This window comes from Homo sapiens, chromosome 1 (assembly GCF_000001405.40).
Source record: "Homo sapiens chromosome 1, GRCh38.p14 Primary Assembly".
Lineage (NCBI taxonomy): Eukaryota > Metazoa > Chordata > Mammalia > Primates > Hominidae > Homo > Homo sapiens.
Genome location: NC_000001.11, coordinates 9,211,893 through 9,235,761, shown reverse-complemented (window position 1 = coordinate 9,235,761; position 23,869 = coordinate 9,211,893). Strand labels below are relative to the sequence as shown.

The 23,869-nt window shown below is 49.2% G+C and overlaps 1 protein-coding gene across 3 annotated transcripts in view, besides 2 other annotated features; it reads right to left on the bottom strand.

Moving 5' to 3' along the window:
* Window positions 1–988, bottom strand: part of H6PD (hexose-6-phosphate dehydrogenase/glucose 1-dehydrogenase) — a 36,564-nt gene extending 35,576 nt beyond the window's left edge. For all 3 annotated transcript variants that reach the window (XM_047435002.1, NM_004285.4, XM_006711052.5), the window contains exon 1: window positions 696–988. The gene's annotated coding sequence lies outside the window, so the exon portion shown is untranslated. The remainder of the gene's footprint in view (window positions 1–695) is intronic.
* Window positions 576–1,135: a silencer, noted in NCBI's record as "silent region_216". NCBI's record gives its function as "represses an Ori minimal core promoter by ATAC-STARR-seq in GM12878 lymphoblastoid cells {active_cell/tissue: GM12878}" and the evidence as "EXISTENCE:reporter gene assay evidence [ECO:0000049][PMID:35858748]".
* Window positions 19,328–19,855: an enhancer, noted in NCBI's record as "H3K4me1 hESC enhancer chr1:9275966-9276493 (GRCh37/hg19 assembly coordinates)". NCBI's record gives its function as "activates a minimal SCP1, AML or CMV promoter by ChIP-STARR-seq in naive H9 embryonic stem cells {active_cell/tissue: H9 hESC(naive)}" and the evidence as "EXISTENCE:reporter gene assay evidence [ECO:0000049][PMID:30033119]".

Genomic DNA, 23,869 nt, shown 5'->3' with positions numbered 1-23,869 from the left:
GTGTGCGCCTGTGGTCCCAGCTACCCCGGAGGCTGAGGCAGGACGATGGCCTGAGCCCAAGAGGTGGAGGCTGCAGGGAACCGTGTTTGTGCCACTGTACTCCAGCCTGGGCAACCAAGCAAGACCCCATCTTTTATAAGTAAAAGATTTTTTACTTTTATATAAAAAAGTAAAAAGATAAAATAAAAAATATGCCCATTTGACACCAGTTTTCCCTCATCTGCTGCCTTTCATGAGCCATGGGCCTGTTGTGGGTGCAGGGGGAGTGGGCAAGGACACTTCTTTCCAGAAGTTCTCACTTCTGGCTAAGCATTCAAGGTTGGGTGAGCTGATTTTCAGAGATCCAGAGAGGTTTGCCCCTGGAAAACCGTTCACTAGATCCGGGTACGGGAAACGCTATGTGAAACCCGAGGGCCAATCAATGCCAAAGATTAAGCAGGTCCCGGGGGAAATCTCGGAGTTCCCCCTCTCCTGGAACTCAGTTCCGGGAAGCCCAGGGAAAGGACAGCTCGGCCGCTCGGGGCGACCCTGGAGGGAGCCTGGCCGCCTCCTGAGCAGTTCCAAAGCCGCCAGCCCCAGGCTCCGTGGGGCTGGCAGCGCAGGCTCCGGGGCTCGGCGCGGCCTCGGGCCCGGCGGCAGCGCGGGTTGGAGGCGCCGGGGCCGGGGCGGCGGCGGGGCCGGCGGGGGGCGCTTACTTCCTCTCGCGCGGCGGCGCAGGCCGCTCCTCCGGGACACGGCCGGGGCGGCGCTGAGGGCCGGGCCCGCTCCCGAGGGCTCCCCTGCGCCCTGGGCCGCACCTCCTCTTCCGCAGGGCCCGTCACTCCGACAAGTGCGCGTGTCACGCGGCCACGCGCCGCACGACACTCCGATACCGCCCGCGGAGCCCGCGGCGGCCGCAGGGGAAGGCGCGAGGCCAAGGCCAGCCCGGCCGCCACCCCGCCCCAGGCCTCAGGCCTCAGGCCTCCACCGCCTTGCGCTCAGCAAGACTGGGGCCCGGGCCGGGGGCGCGCGCGGCGGGGGCGCGCGCGGCGGGGGCGGGGGCGGGGCGGGGGCGCCGGCGAGGCCACGCCCTCCGCTGGCGGCCGCCGGGGCGGGGCCTCGGAGCTTCCGGGGCGAGGCGGTGGGTCAGCTCCGAGCCTCCGCCCCCGCCCTTCCCTTCGGCCCCCTGGTGGCCGTGCGTCCTAGAGCTGTCCTGCCGCGTCCGAGACGCGCGCGGGACCCAGAAGTGGCCGAGGGACGTGGTTGTGTCGTGGAGGGGACCCGGGGTGCTGGCTGCTCCCTACGATCTGGCACCCGCTCTGGGACTCCTCAGGCCTCGCTTTTCCCCATCTGTAGAATGAGCGGCTCGGTCTTTCCCGTCTTCAATATCCAGAGTAGGGATTTAGAAGTCGGAGCGCACACGCTGGCCACGCCTCCGCGCACAGCTTCAGATCTCTGCCACCCCTTATCACTTGTGTGACCCTGAGTTCAGTTTCTTCATCTGTACAGTGGGGACAATGGGAGTACCTGCCTCCGGGGTTGTCTGGCACTTGGGTGCTTAGTAAGCGGAAGCTTGGACCCGTGTGGCAAATAGAAGACTTTTGCTAAGACATTGCTAAGAAAGACAGCAAATGGAATCAGGGCTTCTCTGTAGGGTGAGAGGTATTTAAGTGAGAAAACGGGATCAGCTGCCTCTCAGAGCACTCAGTCCCCTTCCTGTCCCCCACCATTATCAGGCAGTAGGTGGCCCTCACCATGCTCCCCAACCTGCTCCCCACTTTTTCTTTTTTCTTTCTTTTCTTTTCTTTTTTTCTTTTTTTTTTTTTTTTTTTTTTTTGAGACAGGGTCTCGCTCTGTCACCCATGCTGGAGTGCAGTGGCGCTATCACAGCTCACTGCAGCCTCCGCCTCCCAGGCTCAAGTGATCCTCCCGCCTCAGCCTCCCAAGTAACTGGGATCACAGATGTTCGCCACCACTCCTGACTAATTTTTCAACTTTTTGTAGAGACGGGGTCTCACTTTGTTGCCCAGGCTGGTCTCGAACTCCTGGGCCCAAGTGATTCTCCCACGTTGGCCTCCCAAAGTGCTGGGAGGAGATTCTGACCTGAGAGAGAAACTGTGCTGCAGCTTTTTATTTCCCGATGGTTCCATTAGAGGTGGGAGCGTCTGGAACTAGCAGTGGCAACTTGGCAGTGGCCGGCAGGACTGAATGGGGCCAACAGGCATGATTACCACACAGGATGTTAGGCAAGGGGTTCCGGGAAGGCTGGGAACTGAGGGGAGCTGGGCCTCACCGTCACCAAGGCCAGAGGCCATCCGGGCGCCCGCAGAGGGCTGCCAAGCCTCGGCAAGGATTTAGGTCACACTGAGTGGGCCTGGCAGAGGGGGGAGCCAGGGAGCCAGGCACTCTCTGGGCTACCTCCACAGCTGGAAGTGAGCAGGAGGGCTTAGGGCAGGAGCGGGCCAGAGCAGACTCGAATGATGCCGGGACTCTTGGCCTAGAGCCCTTCCCATGTTCTGTGGCCCTGAGTGTGTCAGGCACCCACATAGCTCTGAAAACCAGGGCCCAGGAAGGCACAGATAGAAGTGGGCAGGTGTCCAGAGGCATGACCGGGGGTTCGTTTCCCAGATCTCCATGTGGCCATCAGAGGGTGATCTGCTACCTTGAGGGCTTCTTATAAATAGCCCCAGGTCAGGCGTAGTGGCTCATGCCTGTAATCACAGCACTTTGGGAGGCCGAGGCAGGTGGATCCCCTGAGGTCAGTAGTTCGAGACCAGCCTGGCCAACATGATGAAATCCCATCTCTACTAATAATACAAAAAAAAAAAAAAAAGCCAAGCGTGGTGGCGTGCCTGTAGTCCTAGCTACTCAGATGGCTGAGGCACGAGAATCGCTTGAATCCAGGATGCAGAGGTTGCAGTGAGCCAAGATCGCGCCATTGCACTCCAGCCAGGGCAACAGGGTGAAACTGTGTCAAAAAAAAAAAAAAAAAAAGCCAGGCACGGTGGCTCACGCCTGTAATCCCAGCACTTTGAGAGGCCGAGGCGGGTGGATCACCTGAGGTCGGGAGTTCGAGACCAGCCTGACCAATATGGTGAAACCATGTCTCTACTAAAACTACAAAATTAGCTGGGTGTGGTGGCGCATGCCTGTAATCCCAGCTACTCGGGAGGCTGAGGCAGGAGAATAGCTTGAACCTGGGAGGTGGAGGTTGCGGGGAGCTGAGATCGCGCCACTGCATTCCAGCCTGGGCAACAAGAGTGAAACTCGGTCTCAAAAAAAAAAAAAAAGAAAAAAAAACAAAGCCCCAAACCAAGTCAGTTGTAACCTGCTTACTAAGAAAACGTCCACCTGATTAGGTAACGTTGGGGTGGGGTCTGAGGGGGGAATTAGCCTAGGGGGTCACAATGCCCTCCCAACCCTATGTCCACTCCCACACCACCCTGAGATGTTTCATTTCTCCGCCTGTCTTTCCTCACCTTACCTTCACCTCAGTCTCATCCTGCCTCTGTACCTTCCAGTTTTCTCTGGGCAATCAGTTGCTTTGCTTTCTTTCCATCATGAAGACGATTAGGTCGTGCTAAGACCCAGTCATCCTGGTGTGAGAGTACTGCCACCCAAAACACAAAAATCGAAAACTTTGTCCCTGTGGGCCCTGGCATTGGTTTCTGCACCTTTGCCTGTCTGAAGCTTTTCTTGTTTCCGTGCTGACCGCAGCTACAAGGGACCAGGTGTGCCCAGAACCCCGTGAAGGAAGCCGGGAGAATGAAGGAAGCCGGGAGAAAGGAATGATGCCCCATGGGTGGTCCAGGGGGTGTCCTGTGACCAGAATTCTGTCTGTGGTTTATCTCGTGCTTTATAAGGAGCGCCCTGGGGCTCTATTTATGAAGTGGATTTTTGGGGATTTTTCTTCCTAGCCCTTTAACTGTGGTGTAGGCAGAAGTCAGGGTGAATTCAGCCTGCTTTACAGACAAGGAAAGTGAGACCCAGAGAGATGAATGACTCACAGAGATGCCTGTGGAGTTAGAAATAAAATCCCATTGCAGTTTCTATTTTCAGGTGTCACTCCCTAAGGCAGCTCTGCTGGCTTCGTCTTGCTTCTCGCAGGAGGTGGGGAGGGAGGGAAACAGGTAGAGATTTTTCAGCCACGAGTAGATCTTTTCATCCTCAGACATAAGGAGCCTCTTTTTAAAAATTTTTATTTTATTTTTTGAGACGGAATCTCACTCTGTCACCCAGGCTGGAGTGCAGTGGCACGATCATAGCTCACTGCAGCTTCAACCTCCTGGCTCAAGTGATCCCCCCGCCTTAGCCTCCTGAGTACCTGAAACTACAGGTGTACGCCACTATGCCTGGCTAATTTTTTTCTTTCTTTCTTTCTTTTTTTGTAGAGCTAAGCCCTCACTATGTTGCCCAGACTGGCCTCTAACTCCTAGGCTCAAGGTATCCTCCCACCTCGGCCTCCCAAAGTGCAAGGATCACAGGCATGAGCCATTGTAACAGACCTTTTTTATTTTTTAAGATTAGCTTCCTAAAGTCCACATAAAGTAGTTATGTAATGGTTTCCATTGTTGCCATAACAATATACCACCATTTAGTGGCTTAAACAACCCAAATTTATTATCTTACAGTTCTGGAGGTCAGAACTTAGTTCTTACCAGGCTAAAATAATGGGTCAGCATAAATTCCTATCTGGAGGAGCCATTTCTGGTCAAGGCATAATTCAGTACCTTGTGGTTTTAGGACGGAAATCCCCGTTTCCTTGCTGGCTTCAGCTGAAGGGCATTCTCAGCTTCTAGAGGGTATCACACTCCTTGGCTTGTGGCCCCTTTCTTCCACCTTCAAAGCCAGCAATGGGAGATCCAGTGATTTCTCTCTCCCCTGTGCCCTTTTCAGGGTCATCTCGCTGACCCAGCTGGGGAAGGCTCTCTGCGTTTTTTTTTTTTGCTTTTTTTTTTTTTTTGAGACAGAGTCTCGCTCTGTCGCCCGGGCTAGAGTGCAGTGGCGTGATCTCGGCTCACTGCAACCTCCGCCTCCCGAGTTCATGCCATTCTTCTGCCTCAGCCTCCCGAGTAGCTGGGACTACAGGCGCCCGCCACCACGCCTGGCTAATTTTTTGTATTTTTAGTAGAGATGGGGTTTCACCGTGTTAGCCAGGCTGGTCTCGATTTCCTGACCTCGTGATCCACCCACATTGGCCTCCCAAAGTGCTGGGATTACAGGCGTGAGCCACCACGCCTGGCCGGGTCTCTGCTTTTAAAAACTCATGTGAGCCAGGTTTGGTGGCTCACACCTATAATCCCAGCACTTTGGGAGACCAAAGCGGGCAGATCACCTGAGGTTAGGAGTTTGAGACCAGCCTGACCAACATGGTGAAACCCCGTCTGTACTAAAAAAACAAAAATAAGCCGGGCGTGGTGGTGGGCACCTATAATCCCAGCTACTCGGGAGGCTGAGGCAGGAGAATTGCTTAAACCCAGGAGGCAGAGGTTGCAGTGAGCCAAGATTGTGCCACTGCACTCTAGCTACTTGGGAGGCTGACACGGCAGAATAGCTTGAACCTGGGAGGCAGAGGTTGCAGTGAGCTGAGATGACACCACTGCACTCCAGCCTGGGTGACGGAGTGAGACTTCGTCTCAAAAATAAAAAATCCTCATGATTAGATTGGGCGCATTTATATAATCCAGGATAATCTCTTTATATCAGGGTGCACACACTTAATCACATCTTGCAAAGTCTCTTTTGCCACAAGGTAACAGACACTAGTTCAGGTATCGGGGCCCGTTTTTTTGTTGTTGTTTTGTTTTGTTTTTTTGAAACAGAGTCTCACTTGGTCACCCAGGCTGGAGTGCAGTGGCACAATTATGCATCCGTGACCTCGTGCTCAAACAGCCCTCCTGCCTTAGCCTCTCCAGTAGCCGAGACTACAGACACACACCTGATTTGCTTTTTGTAGTGACAAAGCCTTACTCTGTTGCCCAGGCTGGTCTTGAGCTCCTGGGCTCAAGCAATCCTCCTGTCTCAGCCTCCCAAAGTGATTACAGGTGTGAGTCACTGCACCAAGCTGGGCTTTTTTTTTTTTTTTTTGTGGTGGAGTCTCTTGCTGTCACCCAGGCTGGAGTGCACTGGTGCAATCTCGGCTCACTGCAACCTCCACCTCCTGGGTTCAAGGTGTTCTCCTACCTCAGCCTCCCAAGTAGCTGGGATTACAGGCACCCGCCACCATGCCCGACAAATTTTTTTGTATTTTTAGTAGAGACGGGGTTTCACCATGTTGGCCAGGCTGGTTTTAAACTCTTGACCTCAAGTGATCCACCCACCTCAGCTTCCCAAAGTGCTAGGATTACAGACACGAGCCACTGAGCCTGGTTCCAGCGGGACATCTTTAGTCATTGTTCTGCCTACCACAAATTATAAATTTGCAAATTCTCAAACCCTCTTGATGATCCAGGATTTTTATCACAATTTTTATGTTTTTCTTGAGACAGACTCTCGCTCTGTGGCCCAAGCTGGAGTGCAGTGGCACAATCCTCACTGCAATCTCTGCCTCCTGGGTTCAAGTGATTTTCCTGCCTCAGCCTCCCGAGTATCTGGGATTACAGGCGCCTGCCACCACGCCTGGCCCATTTTTGTATTTTTTAGTAGAGACGGGGTTTCACCGTGTTGGCCAGGCTGGTCTCGAACTCCTGACCTCAGGTGATCTGCCCGCCTCGGCCTCCCAAAGTGCTGGGATTATAGGCATGAGCCACTGCGCTGGGCCCACAATTTTTCATCATAGCTGTATTGAGAGAAAACTCACCTACTATGCAACCTACTCATTGAAAGTGTGCAATTCAGTGGTTTTTAGTATATTCACGGAGTTTTGCAACCATCACCACAATCAAGTTTACAATATTTTTCACCCCGACAGGAAACCCTGTACCCATTAGCAGTCACTCCCCATTTTCCCCCCACCCACTAGGCCCTAGGCAATCACTAATCTATTTTCTGTTTCTATGGATTTGCCTATTGCAGACATTTCATCTAAATGAATCATACAATATATGGCCGTTTGTGGCTAAATATGTTATATATAGACACAGGCATATATGTGTGTCTATGTAATGTTTTCAGGGTTCATTCATGTTGTATCGTGTATCACTGCTTCATTCCTTTTTTTTTTTTTCTTTTGAGACAGAGTCTCGCTCTGTTGCTCAGGCTGGAGTGCAGTGGCCTGATCTTAGCTCACTGCAACCTCCGCCTCCCGGGCTGATTCTCAGCCCTCAGCCTCCTGAGTAGCTGGGATTACAGGCATACGCCACCATGCCCAGTTAATTTTTGTATTTTTAGTAGAGACAGGGTCTTGTCATGCTTGCCAGGCTGGTCTTGAACTCCTGGTGTCAAGTGATCTGCTTGCCTCAGCCTCCCAAAGTGCTGGGATTATAGGCGTGAGCCACTTCACCTGGCTGCTTCGTTCCTTTTCATTGCTAAATCATATTTAATTTTATGGATATACACCACATTTTGTTGATCCATTCATTGATGAACATTTAGGTTGTTTCTGCTTTTTACTGTTATGAATAATGTAGTTATGAATATGTGTGTATATGTTTTTCTATAGATGTATGTTTTCATTTTTCTTGGGTGTATACCCATGAGTGGAAGAACTGGGTTAGCTGGTAATTCTTTTTTTTTGAGACAGTCTTGCTCTGTCACCCAGGCTGGAGTGCAATGGCAAGATCTCGGCTCACTGCAACCTCTGCCTCCTGTGTTCAAGCAATTCTCCTGCCTCAGCCTCCCAAGTCGCTGGGATTACAGGCATCTGCCACTATCCCTAGCTAATTTTTTTTTTTTTTTTTTTTAGTAGAAGCAAGGTTTCACCATGTTGGCCAGACTGGTCTCAAACTCCTGACCTCAGGTTATCCACCTGCCTCAGCCCCCCAAAGTACTGGGATTACAGGTGTGAGCCACCGTGCCTGGCTCTTCAGCTGGTAATTCTATGTTTAGCCTTTTCAGGAACTGCAAGACTGTTTCCCAAAGTTACAGCACCATTCTCTGTTCTCACCAGCAGTGTACAGGGGTTCCAATTTCCCCACATCCTCACCAACACTTACTATTGCCTGACTTTTTTTTTTTTTTTTTTTTTTTTTGAGACAGAGTCTCACTCTGTCGCCCAGGCTGGAGTGCAGTGGCACGATCTTGGCTCACCGCAACCTCTGCCTCCCAGGTTCAAGCAATTCTCCTGCCACAGCCTCCCAAGTAGCTGGGATTAAAGGCGTGCGCCACCATGCCCGGCTAATTTTTTTGTATTTTTAGTAGAGATGGGGTTTCACCATGTTGGCCAGGCTGGTTTTGAAATCCCGACCTCAAGTGGTCCGCCTGCCTCGGCCTCCCAAAGTGCTAGGATTACAGGGTGAGCCACCACGCCTGGCCCCAACTTTTTTATTATAGCTATCTGAGTGGGTGTCAGGTGGGAGTTAATTGTCATTTTGCTTTCATGTCCCTGATGGCCTGTGGTGTTGATCATCTTTCATGTGTTTATTGGCCATTGAGTGTCTTCTTTGGAGAAATATCTAGTCAAATTCTTTGCCCAGTTTTCTTTTTTTCTTAAGAGAAGGAGTCTGAGACAGGGTCTGGCTCTGTCACCCAGGCTCAAGTGCAGTGGTGTGATCTCCACTTGCTGCAACGGCAGCCACCAAGGGGGCTCAAGCCATCCTCCCACCTCAGCCTCCATGGTAGCTGGGACCTCAGGTGCGTGCCACCACACCTGGCTGATTTTTCTATTTTTTGTAGAGATGGGATTTCGCCATGTTGCCCAGGGTGATCTGGAACACCTGAGCTCAAGTGATCCACCCACCTCGGCTTCCCAAAGTGCTGGGATTACAGGTGTGAGCCACTGCACCTGCCCACATTTTTCAGGGTTTTTATTTTTGTCTTTTTTAATTGTGTTGTTAGAGTTGTTTATACATTCTAGATACAAATCGCTTACCAAATGTATGATTTGCAAAAATTTTCTCCCATTCTGTGCATTGTCTTTTCACTTTCTTGATGGTGTCCTTTAAAGCTTAAGTGTTTAACCCCCATGATGTTCAGCGTATCTATTGATTTTTGTTTAATCCTGATGATGTTCAGTGTATCTATTTATTTATTTTTGAGATGGACTTTCACTCTTGTTGCCCAGGCTGGAGTGTAATGGCATGATCTTGGCTCACTGCAACCTCTACCTCCTGGGTTCAAATGATTCTCCTGCCTCAGCCTCCCAAGTAGCTGGGATTACAGGCATGTGCCACCACACCCAGATAATTTTTGTATTTTTAGTAGAGATGGGGTCTCATCATGTTGGTCAGGCTGGTCTGGAACTCCTGACCTCAAGTGATCCACCTGCCTCGGCCTCCCAAAGTGCTGGGATTGCAGGTATGAGCCACGGCACCCAGCCATCTATTGATTTTTGTTGCTTGTGCTTTTGGTGTCATAGCTAGTAAAGGCTTTGCCCAATCCAAGCAAAATCATGGAGATTTATGCTTGCATTTTCTTCTTCTAAGAGTTCAGTGGTTTTGGCACTTGCATTTAGGTTTTTGATCATCTTTAGTTAGTTTTTGTAAATGATGTGAGGTAGGGGGTCCAACTCCCTTCGTTTGCATGTGGATATCCCATTGTCCACGGGGACAGCCCAACAATGCAGGCTGTTCCGTGGTATGCTCCAAGAGCTGTGGCTTGCATAGACGTGCAACATGGTATGCCCAAAGTGCCTCCCTGGTCCAGAAGGTAGACCCTGGAAGACCAATGCCTGGCAAATAACAGGCCCTCAAAAACTGTTTGTCAAATGCACGTGGTGTAAGCTAGGGAGCCTGAGCCACCGAGTCCAGGTGCTGGAGTCTCCTTCGCTCTGCAGAGGCTCCAAGGGACTTCAGCTTGGCCACAATCTGTTGGTGCCCCTGGGGAAAAGGGACAAACTATCAGTGCTACTACTTCCTGAGCGGGATCTCAGGAGAAAAAAGCCCCAGATTTTGTTTTGAGGCTGCCTGGGGGAAGGAGAGTCGAGGGAAGAGAAGAGAGGAGACTGGGGAGCAGCTGGCCTGGATATGAACCAGGACAGGGGACCTTGAGTAATGAAGAGGGAAGCTCCTGTACTCAAGGTCGATGTTTCTTGCCTTAAGCTTCAAGAGGCAAAGGCAGGGAGAAGCTCTTGGCTGGCAGATAAAATGAGAAGATAAAAGTGCTGGCAGCCACCCCAGACATCTCTGCACCAGCAAAAGCTGCATCATCTCCTTCAGGCCAAGTAGAGACGCAGCCTGGGGACATCCAGGCGATGGATGAGCCTGGGGTCTGGGGGAAGGACAAGGAACCCTCAGAGGGGAAATATGCTGGTCAGCAGGACCTCACCAAACAGCCGCTGGCTTCCCATTGGCTTCTCCAGGAAGCAGGCACTGTCTTTCCCCAGCCCTGACACTGCAGTGGGTTGGTCTGGGGCCAGAAGTTTGGAAGCCTCTGGTGAGGCGGCAGTTCCCAAGTGGCTGCAGGGTCACAGCAGGAGACAACCCTGCATTGGTCCAACCCTGGCACCTCTCCGCTGTCCAGTCCTGAACGAGGTAAGGCACCCCTCATTCATGCAGCCAACACCATGCACCAGGCATGTGCCAGGCTCAGGGGGCACAGCAGCGAACCAGGCCCCTGCTCTCAGGGAGCTCAGATTCTACTCCAAGTAGGCAGGCATGGTGGGGAGACAGACAATAAACAAGTGAATCGTGACAGAGAGTGGCAGATGCCACAAAGCACATAAAACCAAGTGATGGAAGAAAATGTCTGACTGGGTCCTTAAGGGTGGCCTCTCCAAAAGGTGATGTTTGACTGAGACTAGAGGGAAAGAGGCCAGTCGTGCAAGAGCTGGAGGAAGAGCATTCTGGGTGGACAGAACAGCAGGTGCAAAGGCCCTGAGGCAGGAACTGGCTTGGCTTCATTGAAGAACGGGAAGGAGGCCAGCACGCAGAGCACTGAGCTCAGCACCCAGGAGCAGATTGCAGGACTGAGACCTGCAGGGCCTCGTAGACCACAGTAGGAACTGTGGGGTTCACTCTAATTTGTAACAGAAGGTTCTAGGGAATTTTAAATGAGAATCTTAAATGAGAGAGTGGCGTGATCAGTTTTCATTTTAGAAAAGTCCTTTGGGCTCCTGGGTCACAGGCCTAGAGGAGAAGCACGTTGGTCAGGTGTGGAGGAGTCTCTGGGAGGGTCTGATGGGCTTCCTGCACAGTGCTGCGGTCTTTTAAAATGATGGCTTGATAGGCCAGATGGGGCGGCTCACGCCTGTAATCCCAGCACTTTGGGAAGCTGAGGTGGGCGGATCACTTGAGGCCAGGAGTTCGAGACCAGCTTGATCAACATGGTGAAACCCCGTCTCTACTAAAAATACAAAAAATAGCTTAACGTGGTGGTGCACACCTGTAATCCCAGCTACTCGGGAGGCTGAGGCAAGAGAATCACTTGAACTCAGAAGGCGGAGGTTGCAGTGAGCCGAGACTGTGCCACTGCACTCCAGCCTGGGTGACAGAGAGAAACTGTGTCTCAAAAAAATAATAATAATAAATAAGTGAAGGTTTTATTATTATTTAGATTTGGCAAAACCCAACAGATCAGGATACAAATGCCATTGAAGGATAATTGTTTAGACTCACAGACTCCAAGAAGAGGGAACACGCTTGGCCGGGCGCGGTGGATCATGCCTGTAATCCCAGCACTTTGTGAGGCTGAGGCAGGCAGATCACGAGGTTGGGAGATCGAGACCATCCTGGCTAACATGGTAAAAACCTGTCTCTACTAAAAATACAAAAAATTAGCCAGGTGTGGTGGCACGCACCTGTAGTCCCAGCTACTTGGGAGGCTGAGGCAGGAGAATCACTTGAACCCGGGAGGCAGAGGTTGCAGTTAGCCGAGATCACGCCACTGCACTCCAGCTTGGTGACAGAGCGAGACTCCGTCTCAAAAAAAAAAAAAAAAGAAGAAGAAGAAGAAGAGAAGGAAGAGGAAGAGAAAGAAGAGGAAGAGGAGGAAGAAGAAGAAAAAGAAGAGGAAGAAGAAGAAGAAGAAAAAGTCAAAGAAGAAGACAAAGAAGAAGAAGAAAGAAGAAAAAGATGAAGAAGTAGAAGAAGAAAAAGATGAAGAAGAAGAAGAAGAAGAAGAAAAGGACAAAGAAGAAGTAGAAGAAAAAGATGAAGAAGAAGAAAAGAAGAAGGAAGAAGAAGAAAAGGATGAAGAAGAAGAAGTAGAAGAAAAAGATGAAGAAGAAGATGAAAAGAAGAAGAAGAAGAAAAGGACGAAGAAGAAGAAGTAGAAGAAAAAGACGAAGAAGAAGAAGAAAAGAAGAAGAAGAAGGAAGAAGAAGAAAAGGACGACGAAGAAGAAAAAGAAGAAGAAGAAGAAGAAGGAAGAAGAAAAAGACGAAGAAGAAGGAAGAAGAAAAAGACAAAGAAGAAGTAGAAGAAAAAGATGAAGAAGAAGAAGATGAAGAAGATGACGAAGAAGAAGACAAAGACAAAGAAGAAGAAGAAGAAGAAGGCCACACCTAGGGAGTCCACGCGGAAAAGCACCAGCATGGGTCACGGGGGTAGAGAAAGCAAGGGGCAAATGTGGCAGAGCCCTGATTGTGGTTTCTGTGGAAAGAGTGGGTGAGGCAGGGCAGGCTGGCCTAGGATTGGATAGTGTGGATGATTCCGGCGGGCTCTGGGCAGAGGGCTGTCCCCAGTCATCTGGTCCCTGGCCTGGCCTGGGTTGACCAGGGCAGGTGGATGGGGGCCGTCCAGGGAGACCCTGGTTGAGGAGGTGATGGGATGCGGGCTCTGAGTGGGTTGGCATGAAAGGTAGGCTCCCAGGCGAGGCCTTTACTATATCTAGAAACTGGCCAGCCCTGGGAGGGGCAGTCCCTTAGGGTCAGCAAGGCCCCAAAGGTCAAAGCATCAGAAACACAAGGTTAACACACAGAGGACGTCTGTGTTCTATGGAGAGAGGTTAGGGAGAGGAAATGGATGGGATTTGCTGATGGATTAGATGTAAGTGACCAGGGAAGTGGTATAATCAAAGATGATGCCTTGGCTGGATGTGGTGGGTCACACCTGTATTCCCAGCACTTTGGGAGGTTGAGGCGGGCAGATCACTTGAGGTCGGGAGTTCAAGACCAGCCTGGCCAAGCTGGTGAAACCCTGTCTCTACTAAAAATACAAAAATTAGGCCAGGTGTGGTGGCTCATGCCTGTAATCCCAGCACTTTGGGAGGCCAAGGTGGACAGATCACCAGGTCAAGGGATCGAGACCATCCTGGTCAACATAGTGAAACCCTGTCTCCACTAAAAATATAAAAATTAACTAGGCGTGGTGGCACACACCTGTAATCCCAGCTACTTTGGAGGCTAAGGCATGAGAATCTTTCGAACCTAGGAGGCAGAGGTTGCAGTGAGCTGAGATTGTGCCACCAGGCCTCCAGCCTGGGTGACAGAGTGAGACCATGTCTCAAAGAAAAAAAAATGAGCCAGGCATGGTGGTATACACCTGTAATCCCAGCTACTGGGGAGGCTGAGGCAGGAGAATTGCTTAAACCTGAGCTGAGATGGTGCCACTGCACTCCAACCTGGGCAACAGAGCAAGACTGTTTCCAAAAAAAAGAAAAAAAAGAAAAAGAAAAAGATGCTGTCTGGGCTTTTGGCTCAAGCAGTTGAGTCCTCCCTTTCTTTATTGTTTATTTTTCATTGTTGTTATTTATTTTGTGTCTTTTTGGCTCCCCCCAATTCTTGAAGCATGTCTCAGGGAGCCAGGAGACATGGCTATGGCCAGGGAGCTTCACCTCTCACAGATGAGCCAAGCTTCAAGTGGAGCAAGCAGGCCAGGTGAGGCAGCGGCGTTAAGCTCCGTGAAGCATGTGTGTACCTTGCCTTAAATAACAGATATGTTGTTAAAAAGTAATGCAGAGTGCAAAAATTCATATTCACCATTTAGAAATGCTATTTCCCCCATGTACTGAAATTATCATTTCAGCAACCGTGATTTCTGGTTAGCATTCCCTTATCCAAAGCCCAGGATGCTGCCATGATGAAGGTCTCTGTTACTATAGCCCAGGAATCGAATGCTTCAAGAAACAGATCTTATTTGCATTAGAGGATCGCTTCACAGGAATTTAAGACAAGCCTTTAAAAAATATAGACTCTTTTGACCCTGTAAATTATTGCCTTCTAACATTTTTTTGTTTTGTTAGATCTTTTTTTTTTTTTTTTTGAGACAGAGTCTTGCTCTGTTGCCCAGGCTGGAGGGCAGTGGCACAGTCTCAGCTCACTGTAACCTCTGCTTCCCAGGTTCAAGTGATTCTCGTGCCTCAGCCTCACCAGTAGCTGGGATTACAGGCATGTGCCACCAGGCCCGGCTAATTTTTGTATTTTTAGTAGAGACAAGGTTTCACCATGTTGGCCAGGCTGGTCTCGAACTCCTGACCTCAGATAATCCACCCGCCTCAGCCTCCCAAAGTGCTGGGATTACAGCATGCCCAGGCCTGTTTTGTTAGATCTCATTTTATTAAGTTCAATTTTATGTAACAGTAAATAACTGTTACCATTTTTTTTTTTTTTTTTTTTTTTGATACAGGGCCTTGCTCTGTTACCCAGGCTGGAGTGCAGTGGCATGATCACAACTCACTGCAGCCTTGACCTCCTGGGCTCAAGTGATCCTCCCACCTCAGCCTCTTTAGTAGCTGGGAGTAAAGGCATGCGCCACCATACCCAGCTAATTAAACAAATTTTTTTGGTTTAGACAGGGTCTTACCATGTTGCCCAGGCTGGACTTGAACTTATGGCCTCAAGTGATCCTCCCACCTTGGCTTCCCAAAGTGCTGGGATTACAGGCATGCACCACTGCACCCAGCCTATTAATGTTTTTAAAAATCAAGAATAAGAAAACAGAGCACCAATATAAAACACAAAGTAGGGGCTCAATAAAAAATGTTTTTGTGATTTGTTTTGATGGCACAGCCTCCACAAAAGGCAGAACTGGTGATGTTTTTATTAAGTCTATTGCAAAGCCACAAAAGCTCTCCCTGCCTGGAACATAACACTGACCCGGTGAGAGACTAAATGAACTGGGGATATTACAACACCTAAACGTAATGCTCTTGAATTCTTGCTAATTAAGAGGTCGCACAGCACCTACTGTGTGGATGGAGCTGTTGATTGCTGGTGAGACATTTGGTTGTGCGGTTTAGGGCAGGTGAGGAAGACCTTGGGGGCTGTCTCTGATCAGCCTCCTTGCACATTGGAGCATTCCAACCCGTCAACTGAAATTCACACACACAAAATGATCATATGGCACCTACAAACATCATTGTTACTGTTTTTCAGCCTTTCTTTTTTGTGGGGAGTGTCTTGTCAACTAGACTATAAACACTTTGCAGGCAAGATGTCTGGGAGCTACTATCTTTTTTTTTTTTTTTTTTTTTTTTTTTTTAGAGACGGGGTTCTTGCTATGTTGCCCAGGCTGGTCCTGAACTCCTAGACTCAAGCAGTTCACCCACCTCAACCTCCCATAGTGTTGGGATTACAGATGTGAGCCACCACACCAGGCCAGGCTACTGTATCTTATTCATAGAGCCCTCCCCAGCACCCAGCACCAGGCTCTTCTTCTACATGTTTGTGGGTTCAATGGGTGAATGGATTAATATCGCATAGTTGTCACCTAGCCGATCTTTGTCAGATCAGTGATTATTTTTACATATGCAGAAAGTCACATTTGGTTATGCGTCAAAAGACACTATCAAGAAAGTGAAAAGACAACCTGCAGACCGGGAGAAAATGTTTGAAAGTCATGCATCTCATAAATAATTAATATTCAGAATATATAAAGAAGTCCTACACCTGAAGAGCAAAAAATCCAAACAACCCAATTCAAAAACTGGCAAAAGACTTGAGTAGACTTTTCCGAAGAAGATATACAAATGGACAATAAGCACATGAAAAGGTGCTTAGTATCTTTAGTCACTAGGGAAATGCAAATCAAAACCACTAGGAGACACCATTTCATACCCCTAGGATGGCTATGATAAACAACAACAAAAAAGAAAATAACAAGTGTTGGCAAGGATGTAGAGAAAATGGAAACCTCCCGCACTGCAGATGGGATAGTAAAGCAGTACAACTGCTGTGGAAACAGTTTAGCAGTTCCTTTAAAAGTTAAATATAGGCCGGGCTTGGTGGCTCACGCCTGTAATCCCAGCACTTTGGGAGGCGAAGGCAGGTAAATCACCTGAGGTCAAGAGTTTGAGACCAGCCTGGCTAACATGGTGAAACCCCATCTCTACTAAAAACACAAAAACTAGCTGACTAGCTGAGCGTGGTGGCGTGCGCCTGTAATCCCAGCTACTCGGGAGGCTGAGGCAGGAGAATTGCTTGAACCCAGGAGTCGGAGATCATGCCACTGCACTCCAGCCTGGGCGATAGAGCAAGACTCCATCTAAAAAAAAAAAAAAAAAAGTTAAATATAGAATTGCTGTGTGAGCCGGCAATTCCAACCCTGGGAAGAATTGAAAGCATGGACTCAATACTTGTACATTAATGTTCATAGCAGCAATAGTTACAAAAGAACAGCCCAAATGTCTGTAAATGGGCGAGGAGAAACAAAATATGGTCTATCCATACAATGGAATATTACTCAGCCATGAAAAGGAACGAAATTCTGACACATGTTACAACATGGATGAAACTCGAAAACGTGATGTTAAGTGAAAGAAGCCAGTCACAAAAAGACAAATATTGTTTGATTCCACTTATGTGAGATACTTAAAATGGACAAATTCATAGAGACAGACAGAAAGGTGGCTTCCAGGAGGCTAGAGGACAGGAAATGGGAGTTAGTGTTTAATGGGGACAAAATTTCTGTTTTGGAACATGAAAAGTTCTGGAGATGGATGGTGGTGATGGTCATTTACCATTGTAAAAACACCACCACTGGCCGGGAGTGGTGGCTTACACCTGCAATCCCAGCACTTTGGGAGGTTGAGGTGGGTGGATCCTTTGAGCTCAGGAGTTGGGAGACCAGCCTGGGCAACATGGTGAAACCACGTCTCTCCCCAAAATATGAAAATTAGCCAGATGTTGGCTGGGCACAGTGGCTCATGCCTGTAATCCCAACAGTTTGGGAGGCCGAGGCGGGCGGATCACGAGGTCAGGAGATCGAGACCATTCTGGCTAACATGGTGAAACCCCGTCTCTACTAAAAATACAAAAAATTAGCCGGGCGTGGTGGCGGGTGCCTGTAGTCCCAGCTACTCGGGAGGCCGAGGCAAGAGAATGGCGTGAACCCGGGAGGCGGGGCTTGCAGTGAGCCGAGATCGTGCCACTGAACTCCAGCCTGGGTGACAGAGTGAGACTCCGTCTCAAAAAAAAAAAAAAAAAGGAAAGACGAGTCACAGTTGGGGCCACATCCCATAAATGAGAAGCTACGTGCCACTTGGCTGGTGCAGTGTCGTTTAACCCAGGATCCTGTCTGGCTCTCCCTCGTCCTGGGATTAGGAGGAGCCCAGCCACCAGCCGGCCATCCTTCTGCATTTGTATGGGAAGGGTTAGACACACGGAGGTTTTAATCACTGTAGCTGACACCTATCAGAGCTGGGACGGCAGCCAAGTCCACATGGTGAAAACAGGAGCCTCTTCAAGGGCCCAGGTCTCGTCTCCATTTCTGTATCCCTCTCAACGGCTCAACAACGCCTGTCCCATCTTCAATTTATTGTAAAGGGTAATTACGTGTCAGCTTAAGTCAGACACTTGGCCTTCATCACAAGTCCAGTATAGGAGAAGGTTAAGAACATTTAAGCCGTGCCCGTCTGTGGCTCACACCTATAATCCCAGCACTTTGGGAGGCTGAGGCAGGTGGATCGCTTGAGCCCAGGAGTTCGAGACCAGCCTGGGCAACATGGTGAAACCCTACAAAAAATACAAAAATTAGCCAGGTGTGGTGGCGCATGCCTATAGTCCCAGCTACTCAAGAGGCTAAGGTGAGAGGATCATTGAGCCCAGGAAGTTGAGGCTACAGTGAGCTGAGATTGTGCCACTGCACAGAGCAAGACCCTGTCTCAAAAACAAAACAAAACAAAACACTTAAAAGGCATACGGCCAGGTGCAGTAGCTCACGCCTGTAATCCCAGCACTTTGGGAGGCCGAGGCAGGTGGATCACCTGAGGTCAGGAGTTTGAGACCAGCCTGGCCAACGTGGTGAAATCCCATCTCTGCCAAAAATACAGAAATTAGTCAGGTGTGGTGGCACTCAGAAGTCTGAGGCAGGAGAATCACTTGAACCTGGGAGGTGGAGGTTGCAGTCAGCCCAGATGGCGCCATTGCGCTCCAGCCTGGGCGACAGAGAGAGACTCTGTCTCAAAAAAATAATAATAATAAATAAAATAAAAATAAAAGGCATATGAAAAATTCAAATGTGTGCCGAGGTCTGTTCCCAGAACCCATGCAATTGGGTAGCATGCCAGTGATGTTCTCCTAACTCTTCTAGAATTAAGCACCCCACAGATGAGGCCCCAAAGGGATGCATCTGTACTAAGTTCCAGGACACGGGGTAATGTTAGTGTGAGGTTCCCAGGTACCTGAAACCCACATCACAAATAGAACATTAATGAGTGCTACAATTAGAACTGGCTCCACACACACAGGTATTTAGAAGTGAGACAGGAAGTGTAAATGGAGCCCTAATTAATGGATGTGCTAATTGTGCTTCCCTGAAATTGGGAGATTAACCCTGGCATATTTTTAAAGCTTTTTTGTGTAACTGGTACATTGAACAAGTGGGACTCATTGGGTGTAGAAAACACTTAATCTTCCCCCCACTGCCTGGTTCAAACCTGTTCAAATGCTCTTATTCATGCCTTGCATGAGATCTAAGGCAGGCCCTTGACTCTGCTGGCCCCTCTCTCCAATCAGGATCTACAATGTGCAGTCCCAGGCCAGGCACGGTGGCTCACGCCTGTAATCCCAGCAGTTTGGGAGGCCAAGGTGAGCGGATCACCTGAGGTCAGGAATTCGAGACCAGCCTGGCAAACATGGTGAAACCCTGTGTCTACTAAAAATACAAAAATTAGCCAGGCGTGGTAGCACGCACCTGTGATCCCAGCTACTTGGGAGGCTGAGGCATGAGAATCGCTTGAACCCAGAGGTGGAGGTTGCAATGAGCCGAGATCACACCATTGTACCCCAACCTGGGTGACAGAGCAAGACTCCATCTCAAATAAATACATAAATAAAATAAAATAACATGTGCAGTGCCATGTAAGTGTCAACCCCCCCAAATGACAGCTTCTCCCCACCCCCAGCTCCTGGTGGGGAGGCGGCTGGGCGTGGGATACTGTTTTCCCTGTGGGGCATCCCTTTGCTGGCTAGCTGCACTTTCTGGCGGTTTCCTAGGCTTACAGTGGAGAAGGAAGAAGACACAGGGAGAGAACAGGCGCAGTGTAACTGGACGGGTAGGTCACAGGCTGGCTTCGCTATCCCCTGGGTTTGATAGGAATTTAAACTTGTTGCATGGGAGCTCTTTTGGGGTTTTTTTGTTTGTTTGTTTGTTTGAGATGAAGTCTTGCTCTGTCGCCCAGGCTGGAGTGCAGTGGTGCGATCTCCGCTCACTGCAACCTCCACCTCCCGGGTTCAAGCAATTCTCCTGCCTTAGCCCCCACTAGTAGCTGGGATTACCGGTGCGCACCACCACCACCACGCCCAGCTAATTTTTCTATTTTTAGTAGAGACGGAGTTTTGCCATGTTGACCAGGCTGGTCTCAAACTCCTGACCTCAGGTGATCCACCCGCCTCGGCCTCCCAAAGTGCTAGGATTACAGGCGTGTCCACCGTGCCCGGCCTCTTTCTATTTTTTTAATTGAGATAGAGTTTCACCCTGTCGCCCAGGCTGGAGTGCAATGGCGTGATCACTGCAACCTCGGCCTCCCAGGTTCAAGCAATTCTCCTGCCTCAGACTCCGGAGTAGCTGGGATTACAGGCACGCACTACCACGCCTGGCTAATTTTTGTATTTTTAGTAGAGACAGGGTTTCACCACCTTGGCCAGGCTGGTCTGGAACTCCTGGCCTCAAGTGATCTGCCCGCTTCGGCCTCCTGAAGTATTGGGATTACAGGCGTGAGCCACCGCAACCAGCCCTCAGGGTCTTTCAAGATTCCTTTAACACAAGGATCTCACAACTGCTGTTCTTTTGATTCCAGTGAAAACCATCTCCTGGGGCTGGTCTTTTATTTGTAATTCCACCTCCAGCTCCTGGAGATGAGGTGTTAGAGTACAGAACTCTTCCTCTAAATTCTCCTTTCGCTCCAGGTGGTCTGGGTGGGAGGATCTCAGGCTCTCCCAGCCCCGCACCTGGTCCACAAAATCTCCTACCTTGGACGGGCTGTTGGGGAAGGAATGTGACCACCCAGCTGCGTTAGCCAGGCGCCTCCTCTCCACCTTCAGGTCTTTCGTGTGGGAGGTGCACGCTGGCCATTTTGTTCTGGGCCCAGGGACATGTGCCTTCTCTCCATGGGGACCCTTAGTCAGCTATCAGCTAAGCCTAAGGGGGAAGCAACCCTCCCCACCCCTCTGCTCCTCCAGGGTTGGGGGAGGCATACTTGCAAGACACTAACCACTTTCTGTTAAACCACTTTCCCTAATCACAGACTTTCTGGATCCTTTTTCTCTATCTTTCTTTTCTTTTTTTTTGAAACAGAGTCTTGCTGTCACCCAGGCTGGAGTGCAATGGCACGATCTTGGCTCACCACAACCTCCACCTGCCAGGTTAAAGCGATTCTCTTGCCTCAGTCTCCTGAGTAGCTGGGATTACAGGTATGCACCACCATGCCTAGCTAGTTTTTGTATTTTTAGTAGAGACGGCATTTCACCATGTTGGCTGGGCTGGTCTCGAGCCCCTGACCTCGTGATCCACCCATCTCGGCCTCCCAAAGTGTTGGGATTACCGGCGTGAGCCACCATGCCTGGCCTTCTTTTTTTAGACAGGATCTCACTCTGTTGCCCAGGCTGGAGTGCAGTGGTGCAATCATGGCCCATTGTAGCCTCGACCTCCCAGGCTCAATCAATCCTCCCCTCTCAGCCTCTTAAGTAGCTGGGGAGCACAGGCACATGCCACCACACCCAGGCTAATTTTTGTATTTTCTTGTAGAGACAGGGTTTTGTCATGTTGCCCAGGCTGGTCTTGAACTCCTGAGCTCAAGCAATCCTCTTGCCTTGGCCTCCCAAAGTGCTGGGATTACAGGCTTGAGTTACCACGCCCAGCCATCTGGATCGTTTTTCTTTAAAGTGGTTGTTGAGCTAATGGATGCAAACCTGTCCTTTGACCCCTCCTTTGCACATTTGCCCGGTTGACCACACCTCACTCTGGTACTACTGGGAATAGTTGGTGTCTAAAGTCTGGGCCCTCAACTGAAATGAAGCCCAAGACCCCTGTTAACGCCCCATCACACACGCTTTTCATGACCCATGGATTGAGTTGCAAAGCAAGGATTTCTTTTTTTCATATTTTCGCAGTTTGTTTGGCCTAATACTAAATCTAAAAGGTGAAATATTCTCAGCAGAACTCAAGGGAACCAGGTGAGTCACTAAGCAACTTCAGGAGGCCCAGAAAATTGCTCAAAAATACGAGTCACTGTTAAGACTCCAGCAGCGAATAAAGGTCTTTATGGCCCCCATGGTGAATCAACAAACCAGAATTCTCCTCCGCTGGATGAGTTTTGTCAGCAATATTCGCCATCTCAGGGGTGCCCTGCTTCCAGGCACTGCAATACAGGTGTGGTCTCTTTCCTCGCCTAAACTAATTTACGAAGGACCCGGGCACCTTCTCGGAGCATCTCAGCACATATTCATCACCTTGGCAAGCAAGCATGACAGGTACCCCTTACCCATCACTTCATCCTCACGCCCTAGCATGGTGCCTGGCCCATGGTAGGATCTAGACAAAGCCCGACTTGAATTACAACCTAAGGATGAAGTGGGGAGATCCTCAGAGACCAGGAATTTATTCTTCAAGGACTTTACTCTTCTCCTTAAAAACATTCTTCTTAATTAGATTTTAGATATAAAAAAAAATCAATCTGCTGCTTTATTTTATTACTCTTCTGTTATATTAGATTGTGCTCTTGGTGGCTTAGAACTATAATGAGTGAAGTCAATAAAACAAAATAGCAAGCACATTAAAATTGCCTATATTTTTTAAAGAGTGGGTCCCTAACATCCTCCATTAGAAAGGGCCAGGCTTTAGGCCAGTGTGGTAGCTGACACTTGTAACCTCTGGGAGGCTAAGGTAGGCTTGAGCCCAGGAGTTCAAGACCAGCCTCGGCAACATGGCGAAACCCCTTCTTTACCAAAAATGCAAAAATTAGCCGAATGTGGTGGTGCACGCCTGTAGTCCCAACTACTCCCGGGGCTGAGAGGGGAGGAGCACTAGAGTGGGGGAGGTGGAGGTTGCAGTGAGCTGTGATCAGGCCGCTGCACTCTAGCCTATGCAACAGAGTGAGACCCTGTCTCAAAAAAAAGGGGGCCAGGTTTTCTAATCTATAAGGTAAGAGGACATTGCATTTTATTGAGGCTACTTGCCTGGTCAGTATCCATTCTCCTGTTCTTCTTTAGTAACAGACCCTTGATTTTATTCAATGTGGCAACGTACATAGTTATAATCCTACATTTCCAAGCTTCTGTTGCAGCTGAGAGTGGCCATGTGGCTAAGTTCTGGACAGTAAATATAAGCAGAAGTTGTAAGATAGAATTTACCAAAAAGGGGACAGATGGCTGACACGTGCTTTTTTTTATAGTCTTCTTCCCCCTACCGCTTGCTTTTTGCTTGGGATGCTGATGTGACAGTTGGAGCTCCAGCAATTGCAGTGGCTCATGAGGCAACTGTTAAGGTTAAGGATGGTAGAAGAGAAAGGTAGGAGGAGTCAGGGTCTCTGATGTTGCTGCAGAGCCACCATAGCAGTCAGGGAGCTCTGACCTCTGGAATATTTTTATGTGAAAGAGAAATAAACTTCTACTTTGTTTAAGACTTTGTTTGTGGCATCTCTAATTTATACTTTTGATTGGTTATATCTGTTATAAAGGGTCATTTAGGCATGACCCATTTTATTTTATCTGTTTTGGGAGGATGTCTCTCTAAAATGCATGGCATGCTCTCTTGGTCCCTTAAGCCAGGCGTAAAGTGGGCATTGGATTTCAGTAAGCAAGAGAGCATGGCATGCATTTTACAGAGACATCCTTCCAAAATGGCTAAAATAAAATGTGCCATGCCTAAATGACCCTTTAGCACACAAGGTACGCAGTTAAATTTTTTTTTTTTTTTTTTTTTGAGACAGAGTCTCACTCTGTCACCCAGGCTGGAGTGCAGTGATGCGATCTCGGCTCACTGCAACCACCGCCTCCCAGATTCAAGCGACTCTCTTACCTCAGCCTCCCGAGTAGCTGGGATCACAGGCACATGCCACCATGCCCAGCTAATTTTTATATTTTTAGTAGAGATGGGGTTTCACCATGTTGGCCAGGCTGGTCTCAAACTCCTGACTTCAAGTGATCCACCTGCCTTGGCCTCCCAAAGTGCTAGGATTACAGGCGTGAGCCACTGTGCCCGGCCTAAATTGGAATTTTAGATAAACAACAAATAAATTCTTAGTAAAAGCATGTACCAAATATTTCATACTTGCACTAAAAAAAATCAGTGTTTATGAAATTTGAATTTAACTGGGAGTCCTATAATAATATTCGCTACATCGGCCAGCCCTAACTGAACAGACTCCTTTTCTGCGGTGTCCTACAGTCCTGTGGCAGTGATGTATATGGAGCCTATTAAGGTATATACAACGCTTAGTCCTTATATGAAAAGGACCCAGATTGCCATGTTTTTCATTC